At 42.0% G+C, this 17,587-nt stretch overlaps 1 protein-coding gene across 1 annotated transcript in view, besides 1 other annotated feature; it reads right to left on the bottom strand.

The window, feature by feature from the left end:
* Positions 1-17,587, bottom strand: part of LRRK1 (leucine rich repeat kinase 1) — a 158,901-nt gene that overhangs the window by 75,013 nt on the left and 66,301 nt on the right. Inside the window, exons 5-6 of the mRNA NM_024652.6 lie at positions 14,432-14,611; positions 13,847-13,995 (exon numbers count right to left, since the gene is read on the bottom strand). Coding sequence (NP_078928.3) covers positions 13,847-13,995; positions 14,432-14,611 — 329 coding nt within the window. The remainder of the gene's footprint in view (positions 1-13,846; positions 13,996-14,431; positions 14,612-17,587) is intronic.
* Positions 6,606-7,593: an enhancer, noted in NCBI's record as "H3K4me1 hESC enhancer chr15:101535857-101536844 (GRCh37/hg19 assembly coordinates)". NCBI's record gives its function as "activates a minimal SCP1, AML or CMV promoter by ChIP-STARR-seq in primed H9 embryonic stem cells {active_cell/tissue: H9 hESC(primed)}" and the evidence as "EXISTENCE:reporter gene assay evidence [ECO:0000049][PMID:30033119]".

The raw sequence follows: 17,587 nt of genomic DNA, 5'->3' as shown, positions 1-17,587 counted from the left end.
TTGACACTCGGAAAATAGACATGCTTGGAAATGGTTTCTGGGCTGGATGGAGGTTGAAAAACCTGTGCAATTTCTACCTGGTCTGGGGCTAGTCTGAAAACTGATTTACAAAAGTTATTTTCTTGTTCAAGCACAGACATTACAGGGTGCCCAGGTGTCCACAAAGTGGCAGAGAGAAACTAGAAAAAATGCACAGTTAAAAAAGTTGTCCAGGGCTGGGCGCAGTGGCTCATGCCTGTAATCCCAGAACTTTGGGAGGCCAAGGCAGGTGGATCACTTGAAGCCAGGAGCTCACGATCAGCCTGGACAACATGGTGAAACCCTGTCTCTACTAAAAATATGAAAAAATAACCAGGTGTGGTGGTGCACACCTGTAGTCCCAGCTACTTGGGAGGCTGAGGCCGAATCACTTGAACCCGGGAGATGGAAGTTGCAGTGAGCTGAGATTGCACCCCTGCACTCCAACCTGGGTGACAGAGCCAGATTCCATCTCAAAATAAAAAATAAATAAATAAAAAGATGTTCATGCACTTGACATTAAAACCTAACTCTTCCAGCCCTGAAGCCCTCATTAGCCCTCATTATTTATTTGTGTCTAGTCCAGGCAGAATCACAATAAACAAGATTCCGAGAGAGCAAAGCCAGCAATTATATAATCCTATCCATGAAGGCTAAACTACAAAATCAAAGACAGCTGGTTAAGGAGAAGCCATCAATTCAACACAGGAGTGGTTAAGCTCCACCCACCCTATCACAAACAGGTGGAGAATGTGTTCATGTTGGTTTTTCAAGCATGAGCCCTTTAAATTTCAGTCCAAGTAAAAGGAAGTACCACTTTCTCGAGAAGGCTCAGTGCAATGATTTCAGAAACTTGTTTTCCACGGCAGTGGTGGTGACTTGGATTGCTTTCAAGAAGGATTAGGTGTATTTAAGGGCAACTGCTTCATTAGAGACTGATGTATAAGAAAGATCTCCTCATCTGGTGATGGAGGCTGCTGTTCAGGAGGGTGCTAGACACCTTCACATGATGCTTCTTGGAGATGTTAGCCATAAAATTGTCACAGTGAATGAGGCATTGCCCCACAATGACATCTCTTATGTTTTTATATCAGTGCAAACCTATTAGTTGAAGAAAAAAATTGTTCAATGAAGAGCTGGCATCTACAAAGCTTTTAGCCTGGTTTGAACCTCAGCAGATGTGGCTGGCACCCCAGCCCAGGGCAGACTCCGAAAACGATTCCTGGCCCCTGTGACATATGCACACAGGTGTTCCTCTGTACGATTCTGTGGGGTCAAGAGCAGCCTTGCCGGAGTGACGTTGTAATGTTAGCTCCTTGCTAGGTCTCACTGACCCCACAGCAGAATTCATAGCTCTTCCTGTGTCTGCAGCTCCTTGTTCCTGTCAGTTGGTCAGTATTTTGCTTATGGCTCATGAGTAAGAATCTTCCCCCCTAGAAACCGTAGATCCCTTCAGAGCACAGACTATAGCTCAGTGACAAAAGGGCACACCACAGTAAAAGCAGTTAATAGGTATCTATTCAATGAAGACACACGTTACAATGGGGGGAAATACACAGAAAGTTCTTGAACTTGTCAATTCTTGGCCCATACAAACCCCAAGTCTTTCTTTCTGCAGTTAAGCAAAGATTCCTGGGACGGTGCCTCCTCCTTGTTGAACCAGCCAGTAAGACAAGAGCCACATTCTGATACGCAGAAGTAACAATAAGAACAACTGAACAGCCAAAGAAGCTGCAAAATCAATGAACCTAATCTAAAATGGGGAGACTCACTCAAAGGCCTGGAGAAAATGCCAAAAGAAGCCCTGAAAACAAAGATGCTCAGAGCAGCAGGCCCAGAAATGGCATCTGAAGGCTCATCCCAGGTTATCTGCATGACGCCAGTGATTATAGTAGAGATGAGACGATGGCTGCAGAGAGCGTCTGTGCACCGACGCCCACAAGCTGAAGGTAAATTTCAAGGCTACAGGTTCCCAGAGAACTCTGGGAACTCAGACCATCAGACGGGGCCCTGAGTGACAGGGATTCAGTGACAGAGAACTGGAAACACCACAGACAGCAGCTCTGTCCCAGCATCCTTGTGCATGTAAAGGCCACAACAGAACCAAACAAACTGTGCCTCATCTCTGCTCCCAGGAGGAATATTCATTGTGGGTTTTCTAAACACCTACTTCTCAAGTTCCTGCACTCTGGTAGAGACAAGCTCTTAAGGAGAAAGGAGGCATTGAAAACGGGAGGATGAGGACACTGTACCTTGACTGGCCGTCTACCTGGCATCTAAGGTGGCCCATGGCAGGTGGATCCAGGCCAAGGGCAATGAAGTGAAGGCAGCAAGGATGGTGTGACGGGTTGCAGTGTGTCCCTCCAAAAAGATATGCTGAAGTCCTAACGCCCCGTACTGCGGAATGTGACTTTAATTAAAAACAGAGGTCATCTAGCCAAAATGAGGTTATTGTGGGGGCCATCATCCAACATGACTGGTGTTCTTATGAAAAAGGAGAAACGTGAACAGAGGCAGACAACGGGAAGACGATGTGAAGACACAGGGAGAAGACAGCAGATGACGGGGGAGATGTGGCCACAAGCCGAGAAGTGTTGGGGACCACCAGCAGTCCCCAGCAGCTGGAAGGGGCAGGGAAAGACCCTCCCTCAGGGCTTCCAGGAGAAGCCGACCCTTCCAACACCTTGACCGTGGACTGCTGACCTCCAGGACCGTGAGAGAATACATTTCTGTTGTGTTAAGCCACCCAGTTTTGGGTGCTTTGTTACAGCAGTTCTAAGAATTCAGATGGTAATGAGTCAAGGGAAGAGAGGGGAGGTTGGGACCAGAGAGCTGGGAACATTCCATTGACACAGATTATGGTCATGATCACACAGATAACAAAAGGAAAGGCAAGGAACAGACTCTTAGAAAGCCAAAAGCATTCCTGCTAAGTAGATTAGAAATGTAATTTTAAAAGGTAATGACAATGACAGAAAAATCAGCTATTAAATTTGGGGAAAGCCTGTGAGGACTCTATGATGTAAATGGAGAATTTCAGAAAGGACTTGAGAATAACCACCACAGGGAGTAGGGAAAGGAGAGACAAGAAAATGGGGGACAGTTTCCTTCTAATCTTAGAGGGGTTTACCCACTTAAATAAAAGACTGAATGAGATAAAACAATGAAGTCAGTTTTGACAATAGCATGTCTGTTAAAAAATATTGTAAATATCAGAATTAGTGGTTGGCTGCCAATATGTTTAAACAAAGAAAGGAAATATTACCGTTGAAACCAGATAAATGAGAAACCTAAGTACAAAAATAACTTACAAGATACACTTCTGATCATATATTAAACAGTCAACATGTAACAATCTGTACTAAACAGTCGTTGTAACAATCTGTGGCTACAAGTCCAGACTCTAGGCAAACAATCTGGAAGTAGAAATGTCAGATTTACTTACCAAAATAAAAATCATCAGTGACACGATCAGAGAAAAAACAAACATTGTATGAAACAAACAAGGAAAATAGAGAATCAGCTCCCCAAGTCTCCTAATTCAATATAATTTTTTCCCAGTCAAATATTTCAAATAACAAATAGTTCCTATGTTATGTAAGTGGTTCCTTAATACAGGACTCATTTCATTTTATGAGTCAAAACCAGTTACTTTGCAAGGGCCATTAAAATTCCAGCCCAATTACATGTACGCACATGGATACAAAACTGCAACAAAATATTTAATCAGCTACAACTAAACTCAGAGAGTTAAGTTCTCTGGCCAGGTAGGGTCTGAACAAAGACAAGGGCGTGACAGTAATTTAGGGAGGAGCACAGCACACCCTATCAGAGAAAGGGAAACTGAGCTTCTCTTTTAAGCAAGTGAATGCCAAAAGATGTGTTTAGTAAAATTCATCACTTTTTCTTTGCTAAAATTCTTAAAAAACAGGTAGAGAGGTTTTTAAAACAAAAAGCAACATTGTACTTTTTTCTGTAATATTTCAGTCATTTCTTTTAAAAATAGGAAACTTACAAGAAATCTCCTGTCACTAGTTCCAGCTTAGGAATTTTGCCAATAGCTATTTGAAAGAGGGAAAAAAATGCAAGAAATAAAAATATGGTGTCTGCAGTTAACTAAGCTACTTAACTTGCTTTCGAGAGAACCCTCAGTTTTCTCAACTTGTAAATAAAGACAAAACTTCCACCTCACAGGCTGTATAAGAGATTAAAATACAATGTTTGGCAAAGTACTTTTTTAAAGCTATGAGGCCCTACGTAAACAGAAAGGAGGTTACTGCATACAAAAATTTCAACCATCCACCCATTCATTCATCCATCCATCTATCCACCCACCCACCTGTTCATCCATGCAACCATGCAATCATCCACCCACCCATCTACCCACCCATCTATCTATCCATCCATTCATCCATCCATCCATGCAACCATGTAACCATCAACCCACCTGTCTACCCACCCATCTATCTATCCATCCTTCTATCCATTCATCCATCTATCATCCTCCTATCCATCCATGCAACCATCCACTGACCCATCTATCTATCCAAGCAACTATCCATCTATCCATCCATCCACACACCCACCCACCCACCCATCCATTTTCTACCTACCCACCTATCTATCGTGTTCCAAGTCCTATACGGAGGGGCAAACACAGGGTGAGCAAAATTGGCCAAGGTTTCTGCTTTGAGGAAGCTTCTAGTCATGTGGAGAAATTGATTAAAGAAGAATGTCACCCAAACAAATAACCCAAACTTTGTTTAGTGCTTTGAATAAAACTGACAGGGAGCTCTGAGACATAGAAGGTTGGGGTGGGGGCAAGTGACCAGGCCTGAGGGTTAAGGAAGGCTTTCCTGAGGATATTGTGTGGGGATCTGCAGGGTGTCCTGGGTCGAGGAGGAGCAGTGTGCTGAGTGCTGAGTGCTGAGGAGGCAGGCTCGCTTTTTCCTGGCTAGGCGTGGTCTGCTTGCTGGTACAGCATGGATGGTATAGTCTTTCCCTGCCACCAGATATTTTGGCTTCCTTTCTTTTTTTTTTTTTTTTTGAGACAGAGTCTTGTTCTGTCGTCCAGGCTGAAGTGCAATGGCACTATCTCGGCTCACTGCAACCTTGCCTCCCAGTTTCAAGCGATTCTCCTGTCTCAGCCCCACAGTAGCTGGGATTATAGGCATGCACCACCACACCCAACTCATGTTTGTATTTTTAGTAGAGACGGGGGGGTTTCACCATGTTGGCCAGGCTGGTCTCGAACTCCTAACCTCAGATGATCCACCACCTTGGCCTCCCAATGTGCTGGGATTATAGGCGTGAGCCACCGCACCCAGCAGACATGTTGGTTTCTTTCCCCCATGTCTTCTTATCATAAACAGCAGTGCTGTGGCCATGTTTGTGGCCATCACTATTGATTTCATTTGAATTCTGTCCTAGAGGTATTCTTCAGAAAGGAAATATTGAATTCAGAACAGTTCACTGGGAGAAAAGAGGTTTATAGCTTTTGCCACATGATGCCAATTACTTTCCACACATATGGAACCAATTCACAGTGCCAGCAGCAAGACCCTGGTGTGTCCGTTGCTCTGTGCTCTGCCAAATGTCTTACTCATTGTGTATATTTATTTTTGCTAGTTTAATAGGTGTGTGACAGTACTTGCAAGCTGTTTGAATTTGAATTTCTGTAATTGCCAGTGATGTTGTGTATGTTTCCATGCCATGATTTACTGCCAGTGTTTTCTTATATGTAAATTAACTGTTCATTCTCTCAAATTTTTACTTGCTGGAATCTGTGAGCACTGTGACAGCCAGGGCAAAGGTCTGGCCATCACTGCTGGGTCCCAAGCATCTGGCAGGAGATCGATAAACTTTGGCTAAATTAAATTCGATCATCAGCTGACATGGAGTTGCACCAATGATCTACCTTGGATTTAAGTGTTTGTCAGTTATTTTTTCCGAAATATTTTCCATGTCTTTTCTTTTTAAAATTATGTTTTAGTATAAATAATTTTGCTTTAATGTTCATGTTATTTCTGATCATATATCTTCATATATGTTTAGAAATTGAAAGGCAGTCATCTCCCTCTTATAACTGGGATAAACATGCTTTTAAATATATATATGTCTCTATAGATATAAGATCTATAGATATGATTATATTAATAATCATATCTATAGATATGCATATTCTGATGAGTTTTCAAAGCTTAACGCTAACTTGTCTAGAATCCATTTGTATCATAATGAATCTAAATCTCTGTGCTGAACTCCAACAGTTCTCACAGCCTTGGCTAATGTTTCTTACTCTTATTCTCTTTCTTATTCTTTTCTCATTACGTCTTCTAGTTTGTCACTGAAGTTCAAATAATAGTTTTTCTGTTTCTGCCTGTCTAGCTTAATCATTTTTCTCTGTCGTTAACTAAATACAAGTGACTGACATGCTCACTGCTTTGTCGGATGTCTTAAAATCCAGCAGGACGACATGAACACAGGACTGAGAAGCCACGCGCTGTTCCCCTTCACTTATTCTGCCACGTGACCCTGGCTACCCATTTTCGAGTTCTATGAAGCACTAACATGCACATGGATAGCATCACATTTGTCTCCTATTCCACAGGGAAAACATATGGGCAGAGGAAGAGGACAGGGAAAGCTTCAGTATTTGGAACCTGGAGAAAATGGGCATGTGTGGGACAATGGACTGAACTGCTCACCAGGACACAAGAATAGTGGAACTGGTGGAAGGATGCTGGGAACAGTCCAGGGTTTACTTCATGACCCTCAGAGGGTAGGAAAAGGGCCTCCTCTTCTGTTCACACGAGCGACTGTGGAACAGGCCAGGCCAAGAGGAGTCAGGGTCCATGCCCCAGCCCTGGCTGTCACCATGGGGGCCTTGCTGGGCCAGGCTGAATTCTGGGAATGCCAGTGCCCACGTTGGCTCCTACAGCAGCACCGCCTGCTGAGAAGAGGGTATGTGGCGCCAGGGCGGTGGTGATGTGTGCGGAAGTGCTCTGCAATGCACGAAACTCTGGAGTGACACCCTCTGCACCAAATGTGAGGTCCTATCTAAGACAGGGTTGTTCCCCAGAGGCCTCAGGTGTCCCTCAGGAAAGGCCACCAGCCCCCAGCCATCAGGCACTCTCATGAGCACGCAGCCCTGGCTCAGCTGCCTCCAGCAGCAGCTTGCATGGCCCCAGTAAAACGCCTGCCTTAACCCTGAGGATGTGCAGCTGGGCTGCTTGCGCTCAGGGCACTGACACACAGACATGAAGGGTGGGGCACCAGGAACTTGAAAGCTACATATGCCGGAACTGATCCAAACAGTAATAATAGATGTCCCTCTCTCTTTAGGTTAGCTGCCAGATTTGAAATCATTAGAGACTTTTAAAAGGAAATTAATAATTTCCCCATTGGGTTGTTTGAAAGTTAATTTCAGGTCTGCTCTACTTCCACACTTAAAACAGCCCCAGTGAGCCCTCAGCCTGGCCCTCTAACTGCTGAACAGGAGCGAACATCGTGGTTATTCTGGGATCTGATTAGGCTTTTCCTGGCATTTCTGAGTTTTCTTGTTCCTTTCTGGGTGTGACAACATCAAAGCATTAAGCTATTTCTCATGGCAACGCAGCTAAACATTGACCCGATGTTCACCACGAACGCGGGCCGTCTCATTAGATGTTCAGGCAAAACTTTAGCAGCTTTAAGAGGAGCACTGCCCAGCCAGGCAAACAGCATGGCCAGGTCTGACTTTACTTCACTTTTGTTTCTTAGAGAGTGTGTCCCAGCAGTCCAGACCATACAGTGTGGCCTCTGGAACCTTCTTCATCCAAACACCAGCAAAACCCAAGCAGCCAGCCACTGCCAATGGAAAACAAATGTGGGTTTCTCTGTATTTTCTCCCTTTGCGGGCAGAGGTGGATTCGGGCTATGCTTGGCCCAGAAACATGCAGAGGGGCTGCTGTACCTGGGTCGGCTGTGGCTTCCACACACGCAGCAATTACATTAAAAAATACTGACCAGCTGGTGTGTCAGGCAGAGCTCAACCACACAAAAAACACGATGGCACATGCATGATCTCCCTAAGACATCATCGCGTGGCCCGTGACTGCTTGTTGTACCAGGGCTGGAGCAACAACCTCCGTCACACGTGCCCTGAAGGGACCGTTACTTCAACAAGGTCACAGCCATGAGTGCCAGCAGTGCCAAAGGCCTTTTCAGACCATGTGTCATGTCAGTGAAGCACCCTTTTAATACCTACCCTTGTGTAATATTCTGAACCAACCCAAACTGTCACTTTAATCCCACTGGATACCTGGGAAGGTAGGAGCACTTACCTCTGGCTCCTGAGTCATCCTTCCTGACTGCCGGAACCCTCTGCCCGGACCCCTCTCTGTTCTCTTCTGCCAGCAGCACCGAAGGAATGTGCTGTTGCAGGTTAGAGATGACGGGGCAGCCAGGCACACCCACTCCAAGGTACTTGCCTCTGAAATTCACTTGAATGCTAAAAATACCACCTGCTTTGGGGAAGCTCAAGGAGCCCTTGAGACTCAGGTTGCGCTGAAATTTCATTTCCTCTTCTGATTCCACGCAACAGAGCCAGTTAGAGGAAAAGCACCATTGCCTTTTCCTTGTCTTTTCATTCACAAAATGCAGTAATCGCTTCCTCCATGCTCTATGCCAACCTTGGCATGTGTAAGAAGAGTTGCCTCACAGAAAAGATCACAGGTAGAAGATAACAGCTGTTTCTGCTTTTACCCTTACACCAAGAAAATCGGAGCCACTGGCTCTTGACCTTGGGTGCACATTGGAATCACCTGGAGAATTTCTAAAACTCCTCATGCCGGGTCTCACGCTACAGATTCAGATTTAATCAGTGTAAGATGTGGTCTGAGCATCAGGATTTTAAAAAGTTCCCAGGGATTATGATGTGCAGAGAATCATTCGTCTATGTGAAACCTAGGCGGTACAGTTCAGGAACTGTGTTCGGGAGTCTAAGCATCAATACTGTTTAGTATTTGTCATCCTTGGACAAATAACGTAATGTCTTTATACCCCAATAATTTCATATGTAAAACAGATGCTATTCCCTGCAGTTCTTACCGAGGTGTTATAAGGACCAAATTAGTTAAGAAAGTGCTTGGAAAAGTAACAAGCACTACATAGATGTAAGGGTTAGATGATCATCATTTCTTTTGGTGATGTGCGGCTAATAGCAATATAACTAATATTTATTGAGCACTTATTATGTGCCAGGGCCTGTGCTAAGTGCACAGCTGCCCTGTGAAGGGCATTGTTATCCCTGTTTTATAACTGAGAAAACCAACCAAGGAACAGATAGGTAGAAATATACAGAAAGTAGAATATCAGTATTCTTTAGAAACTAGGAAACCAGCAGGAATAAGGGAAGGGTAAAAAGGAAATAGTAATAAATATAAATTAAAGAGATGGAAAAATATATACTAATAGGACAGGTTGTACACAAATATGAAGTGGGTGGATCCCTCGTTCAAAAGAAACACACTCAGATGAGATTAAAAACCAAATGCTGTTTACAAGAAATATACCTACGGCAAAGAGACAAATAAAAACCTGAAAATAAATATCTGGGAAAACTTATCCAAGGTTGACACAAAGAAAAACAGGGCAAAGTGGACACGTGAAGAGAAAACAAACTCAATTTCAAGGACAGAGACATCAACAGGATTAAGGTGGCCATTTGATATAACCAAAATAGGTATTGATGAGTCATAAAGCCAGAAACCAGGTATGTCAAGCAAAACCTTGTAGAGACATAAGAAGAATGAGATTTTAAAAATCATCAGAAGTGGGAAATAAATATATGTACTTGTATCGATGGATGTATGTACACTTGTACATCTCTATATATCTATATATCTCTATATCTATATTTCAGGCTCTGATAAAGAAAGCTAGCACAAACAGGCAGCACATAAAGGGCTCAAATACTGTAATCAACAAGCTAAAATTAGAGAAAAAGGAGGAAGAAATAAATATTCAACTCAAGAAACAGGTAACATCTATTAGGCGTTTGCTACGTGCCAGGCTTTGCTATTAGGATGTCACAAATATTACTACACTTATTTGTCAAGCATCCCTCTGAGACAGGTATTTTATTGCTTTTCCCATTAAACCAAGACACAGACGAAGGCCCTGCAGTACTGAAGCCTGGAGTCCAGATAAGAACCAGGAAGTCTCATGCCAAGGCCTTGCTTTAACCTCAACACCATCAACAAAACTCTCAAAAAAGAACATATGGGCCGGGCACGGTGGCTCATGCCTGTAATCCCACCACTTTGGGAGGCCGAGGCGGGTGGATCACCTGAGGTCAAGACTAGCCTGACCAACATGGTGAAATCCCATCTCTACTAAAAATACAAAAATCAGCTTGGTGTGGTGTTGCACACCTGTAATCCCTGCTACTTGGGAGGCTGAGGCAGGGGAATTGCTTGGACCCGGGAGGTGGAGGTTACAGTGAGCTGAGACCACGCCATTGCACTCCAGCCTGGGTGACAAGAGTGAAACTCCATCTCAAAAAACAAGAACAGAAACAAAACAAAACAAAACCCCAAAAACAACCATATGAAGAGGGTTTTAATACAGACAGAAGTGAAAATTAATGAAATAACAAACAAAACAAGTAATTTTAAAAAATCTATCAAGTTCCTTGACAGTTCCTTGTATTTTAACATAAATCTCTGGCTAATTTGATTAAGTTTGAAAGAGAAAAAGTAAAACTGTTCAACAGCATAAATGAAAAGAGTAATATAAGTATAGATATAGAAGAAAAGAATGAGAAAAATGTCAATGCAACATTATGATGGCAAATTCAAAAACCTAAAGGAAATGGATAATTTTCTACCAAAATATAATTTCCTGACTTGCATATAAGGGAAAGCAGACAATGTGAATTGACAAATGACTTCAAAAGGAATCAGAAAATAAAGATCTGCTTTATCTAATTAACCATTAACAATAAATAATTCCTGTGAGACTTCTCCAGATAATAATAAGATGGAAAGTTCCCCATGTTATTTTGTAAAGCTAGCATCATCTTATATAAAACCACATAGAAACATTAAAAATAGAAAATTATAGATCAATTCACCTATAAACACAGATGCAGAAACTGTAAATAAAATATCAATAGATCAAATCCAGCAGTTAAAAAAAGACAATGAGCATTTATAATAGGAGTTCAAGGTTGAGTCAACATCTATCAAAATCATTTATTAAATCAATAAAGTAGAAAAGCTATATGAATACACTAATTGCTGCAAAAAGGGATTTGAAAAAGTTCAGTAATGTTTCCTAATAAAAACTCAAAGCAAAAATGAATACATGGAAACTACCTAAATATAACAAGAACCTATTTGCTAACTGTCCAGAGCAAATGCTTATAAATTGGTGACACCAAGACATTTAAAATCAGGAACAAGATAGATATAACTGCTAGAGTCATGATTATTCAGTTTTTGAGATTTCTAAAGATACACAATAAGACATGGAATAATAAGTTGTATAAATATTAGAAAAAAGAGATAAACTTGTTTTGAATTTGTAGAATATGTGATCATATATCCAAAAGTATTGAGGAATTCTAGTAAAAACTACATTAGAGTGAATAAGAGAAGATGGGAAAGGAACTGGATAAAACAGAAATAAACAAAATAACTTTTCTCCATACCAGTAACATCAGGTTGGAATAGAAATGGAAAAGAGTTATATAAATATATAGATAGTTCATTAAAATGGTAGCAAAAACAATATAAAAGTCACTAACAGACAAGACAGGTCCAGGAGTTTTAGGAAGAAAAGAAAAAAATCTCATTAAAGAACATAAAAGCTACACAAATAGAGTCACTGTGGGAAATGAGCAAAATAGAAGAACAAATGTCCGATAATAGTCCAGTCAAGATATCTTTGAAAAAAACTAATGAACAGAAAACTTGCATTAACAGATTGTAAAACTTAAATGCAGTGCCTATAATCGAAACAATATGACATTTGCCAGAAACAGATTAATAGGCCAGTGAACCAGTACTGAGAATCCCAAAATGTATACAGATATAGGTACTGGGGAAAATGCCAATGGTGACATCTCAATTCAGATGAGAAAGAAAACTTCATTTTAAAAACTGTGCTAGAGTAGCTGGCTATCTGGAAGAGATAAAAGCTAGCCACCTCCACCCTCTGCCACTTCCCTCATACAATACACACAAATAAATACCAGAAAGGTTAAAGCTTAAAATGTAAAAACTAAATGAATGAAAACATTACAAGGAACTCCAGGAGAATACTGAAATAAAATTAGAGGGAAAGTGGCCTTCTTGTATAACCACATACCAGAAAGGAGAAGATGAACATATTGAATTATGTATTATTTTACCTTTGCTATCACAAAAGATAACAAAAAAAGAAAAATAATGGATTGGGAAAAATATTGGCAACATTTATGATAAAGTCTTAAAAATCTCTAATGTTCAAAAAAAAAAAAACCCTCCAAAGTGAGAAAAAAAGACAAACAATCCTTTAGAAAAAATAATCAACAAACATTAACAGGCAGTTCACATAAAGGGAATGCAAATAGTTCATGAACATATGAAAAGATATCCAGTATTATTACTAATATAACATGGAAATTAAAATAAGCAGAAATTATTTTTGCCTCACACTGATGAAAATTAATAGGCTCCAGGATGCCTACTGCTTGCTGGCTGAGGGGTGGAGACAGAGAATCCCACCTATTGCTGGTGAAAATGTGAATCACCAGAGTGTTGGGGGGCAGTGTTTCCAAAGCAGCCCACTTTTAGGACTGTGCTCTACATAAGCAAACATACCATAGCAAATCAGGCTATATTGCAACAGGAAAAAAAAAAGAACTATTTCAAATGTCCACCAATAGCAGGAGAGCTATGTCAACTAAGTGACACTGGCTCTATGTATTTAAAGAACGTCCCTAAAAGAATGAGTTGAAGCCACAATAACTGATCTAGAGGAAGTCCATGATAGAATACTAAATTTAAAAAGCCAAGTTGAAGACAATGTAAATAACGCAATAATATTTTTGTTATTAAAATGGGAAATTAAAACTAAACCCTGTATAGTTTTGTAAATGTTTTTATAGCATTGCATGTGGAAGGATGTGAAAAGATCCCTACCAGGTTGTTAAACTATTTACTTCAAGGGCAGAAGATTCATAATTTTGATTACCACTCTCAATTGTGATCACTTGTTATAACAATCATTCATAACTTTAGTAATTTTAAAATTTAACACATAAAAATTTAAAAAAGAAATATGTTAAATATGATATATTTAACCAATTTTTGAAAAAAGGAAAAGAGAAAAAAAACAACCAAAAAAAACCAGAAACAAAAACAAAAACTCTGGGAGGGGGATGAAGCCCAGATTTCAGCTCCCACCCTGCTATAGCTTGAATGTCCCCTTCAAAACTCATGATGAAATGTAATTGCTGTTGTGATAAGGATGGGACCATTAAGAGGTGATTAGGCCAAGAAGGCCCCACCCTCATAAATGGATTGATGTTGTTATTGTGGAAGTGGGTTTGTTATTTTGAGGGTGGGTTGTTATAAAAGTGAGTTCTTCCCTCTCTCAGTCTGTTGGTCTCTTGCCCTCCACCTTCATATCACTGCATGAAGGCCCTCACCAGATACCAGCACTATGCTCTTGGACTTCTCAATCTCCAGACCTGTAAGCCAAATATATTTCTGTTTATTATAAATTACCCAGTCTGCAGGATTCTGTTACAGCAGCACAAAAGGAACTAAAACACACTCCACAGGCAGTGACTACTCACTGTTTTTCCCGGATAACTGCTGGGCAAGGGACTGGCTTCAATGAAGTACTTTCTCAGCAGATGTTTGCTGGGGTCAGGACTATCCAGCAAGATGTAGGAACAGAAATAGGCCCCATGCCGAAGCAGGAATATTGCAATGTCTTCATTCCCTAAAGGAACAAAACCAAAAAGCTAAGGGCATGCAGATGCTAGTGTCACAGTCGTTGGAAGGGCAGACTCTGATATGTGGAATGGAAACTGAAAAGGTACTTGTGCATGTTGGACTTCTCTATTTACTTCCCTTGGTGCATCAAGTTTCTGTTAGTGGGAGAATTTCTGTGGGGCTTTGCCCTTTGGAGTGCCTCGTACAACAGTCCCATTAGCCACAGTCAGTCTCTGTCACTGAAATCCCCTTGCGGGGGCAAGTAAGGAGGAAATGAGGAAGGGTGCAGATATTTTGAAAAAGAAACATAGAACAGGAGTTGCAAAAGTCTCCTCACAGAGGTGATTTGAGAGCCAAGAGTGAGAATAAAGACACAGTCCCACATCTGGAGGCTGAGATGGTTTGCACGGTCAGGGTTGACTCAGGGTAGTGGGGAAACCCACCTGACTTGATGGCCGCATACAGGGGCAAGCGCACGATGACAGGGAACTCATTCTTCCTGACAGCGTAGCTCTCCGGGTCAGCCCCGTGCGTCAGGACCAGGAGCTTCACAACCCCCAGGTGCCCTCGCTGGCAAGCCAAGGCCAGCATCCAGTTCAGAAGCCGCTGGGGACTGCAGGGACCTGGCAGGAGATGGCAGGACAAAGGGAAAGTGCCACTGAAGGGTGCTGTTTGTTCCCACTCTGCTCTTCCCTTAGACCGCTAGTAGCAATGGACTGGTTAAATAAAATGTGGTACATTTGCACCATGGAATACTATACAGCCATAAAAAAGAATGAGATCATGTACTTTGCAGCATCATGGATGGAGCTGGAGGTCATTATCCTAAGTGAACTAACGCAACAACAGAAAACCAAATACTGCATGTTATCACTTATAAGGGGGAGCTAAACATTGAATGCACGTGGACACAAAGAAGGGAACAATAGACACTGGGGACTACTTGATGGTGGAGGGAGGGAAAAGGGGGAAGGTTAAAAAATTACCTATTGAGTCCCATGCTTATTACCCAGGTGACGAAATAATCTGCATACCGAACCCCGGCAACATGCAGTTTACCCACGTAACAAACCTGCATATGTACCCCTGAACCTAAAGTAAAAGTTAAACAAAACAAAACAAAACCCAGCTGTCCTGTTTCCAGCTGAAAGTTGCTTCTGTTGAGTTGATAGTGTTTTCTGGAATAGTCTCTCTGAATTGCATATGACATTTCCCCACATCAGTCACCCACCTGCTTGTCAGATAATGCCGAGTGATGAAATGGAGGATTAAAAATGGCGTATCCAGCATGATCTTAGCCAAATAAAAAATGGGTGTGTGGAAATAAGACTAGAAACAACTACCCCAGCATTGTGGTATTTTCTCTGGGCTCTCCCCTGCCCTCACCCCTCCCCTAGGGTAACATTACATGCAGGAGTATGAACTTTGGAGACAGGCATTTTAGAAATAAAATAATTTAGTATGTAATTTTGGACACATTTCTTAATCTCTCTCTGTTTCAGTTTGCCTGTTGGTAAAATCGGAATAATAATACTCATTCTTCCAAGTTTAATGTGAGGACTACATCACAAAATGCATGTCAAGTGCCTGGATCAATAAACCCTAACTCATGATGTTGTGTCATTGTATTATTAAAGTACTGACACTTTCCCACATTTTAAAATTATCTATAATATACATATATTACTTTCATGAATAATAATAATAAAAGCTTTGGTGAAAGATCTGTCAGGCCTAAAAGTGACAATTTCTCCCCAGTAGAACCACCTACTTAATTCCAGGATGAAATAACACTTAGCACATTGAATTGACGGGGGCAGTGTGGGCTGAAATGTTACAATATCTTCAAGTTCAAAATAGTGCAATATCTTTTGGGTCTAGTTGCCATGGAAAAATGACCTCATCTTCTGCAGGGACACTTCCCAAATGCATCATAACACTGCCTCATTTCCAGAGGCACATAGTCCTAGGGATCAAAGTGCTCCCAAGTGAGGAGAGAGTGACTCTCTCCTTCGCGACAGGACATTGATCAGGAAACCGGGGTCAGGATGGCCCTGTATTCACCAAATAAAGCATGTAGCATAGGGCTGAGGCTGGAGCCAGTGCCAAGTAAATATCCCTTCTTCTCCCTCTACTGTTAACCAGAATTAATGATTTGTAGGTATGTTAACAGAAAATAAGTGACCCCTAATCCACTTACACAAGAATATCTGGGTAAGAGAAACACAGTAACCATGCTAGTAACTTCTGTTGAGATGGGGATGTGTCAGTCTTTGGAGGCAGGCATTATATTTCAGGACCATGATTTTAAGATGAGGAAACCAAAGCTCAGAGAGGTTTGGAAATGTAGGAGATTGGTCAGAGTCGTAGGAAAAACTACAGGGAAAGGACACAAACCTTCTGAAAGTTTGGAAGCTTCTGCAGAGCCCTGGGGGAGAACAGCTGAAGGCAGAGGGCAAGGAGTGTAGGGGAATGTATCTTAAACAGGCTTGTTTACTTATGTTGACCAGGAACTGACCTTTGATCATCTGCTGGCTTGATGTTCCCTGAAAGGGGAACAATAAATGTTAATTACCTACAGGTTGTGTTGGCTCCAGGTTTTCGGCATTGTGCCTGCACTGAATGAAAGCAAGCAGCTCTAGCTTCTTCGGGCTGCTCTCTGGCCAACAGAGCCAGGCAGTGACTCAGCTGCTCTTACACCGTACACCTGTGTCTGAGTACTCATTTCATCCATCAGCCAGGGTCTGTGGGACACACCTGGCAGGGAAACTTCTTGAAGGTCCCACAGTTAGTAAATAGCAAGGTCAAGACTTAAACCTTGCTTTGTCTAAAATCAAAGGGTGCTCTCTTAACCACACAAAACCCCTACAGGTACTCTCTACAGCCTAAGGCCAACGACACTCAGAGGAGCCCCTCTTCCTCCCTGCTCAGCTTCAGAGACCAGGAATCACATAACAACGTGCTTCAAAGAATGCATCCCATCAACCTCTCATCCCTCTTCTTCTCAAACCCTCCTTTGTTCTCTAGCTGCTTCTTGTTTTTGTTTTTTGTTTGAGACAGGGTCTCCTTCTATCTCAGCCTGGAGTGCAGTAATGTGATCATAGCTGACTGCAGCCTTGGACTCCTGGGCTTAAGCCATTCTCCCACTTCACCCTCCCAAGTACCTGGGAATATAGGCATGTGCCACCATGCCTGGTTAATTTAAATTTTTTTTTTTTTTTGTAGATACAGGGTCTCACTATGTTACCCAGGCTGGTCATGAAATCCTGGGCTCAAGTGATCCTCTTGCCTTGGCCTCCCAAATTGTTGGGATTACAGGCATGAGCCAGCATGTCCAGCCTGACTCTTGTTTGTCTTCTTGTCTTGACTTACTCCTGACCATGGCTGACTTCCCTTCCAGCTTGGGAACTCCTTTGCAGGAAGTGCAGGGATGGGTACACACTGTTTTGCCCATCTCTGCACTTTCTGCAAAGCCCACCACAATGGTCTGAAATCCTTCAGTCCTCAGCAGCTTTGCTCAGAGTTGAGCTGAAGATACGATGCTCCTGGGAGCAGTTGAAAACCATGACGAGGTTCAGCCACACTTCCTGCTCTGCAAA

The sequence above is a fragment of the Homo sapiens genome, chromosome 15 (assembly GCF_000001405.40).
Source record: "Homo sapiens chromosome 15, GRCh38.p14 Primary Assembly".
In the NCBI taxonomy this organism is placed as follows: domain Eukaryota; kingdom Metazoa; phylum Chordata; class Mammalia; order Primates; family Hominidae; genus Homo; species Homo sapiens.
The sequence above is the reverse complement of the archived record's forward strand: the minus strand, read 5'-3'. Positions and strand labels throughout refer to the sequence as shown.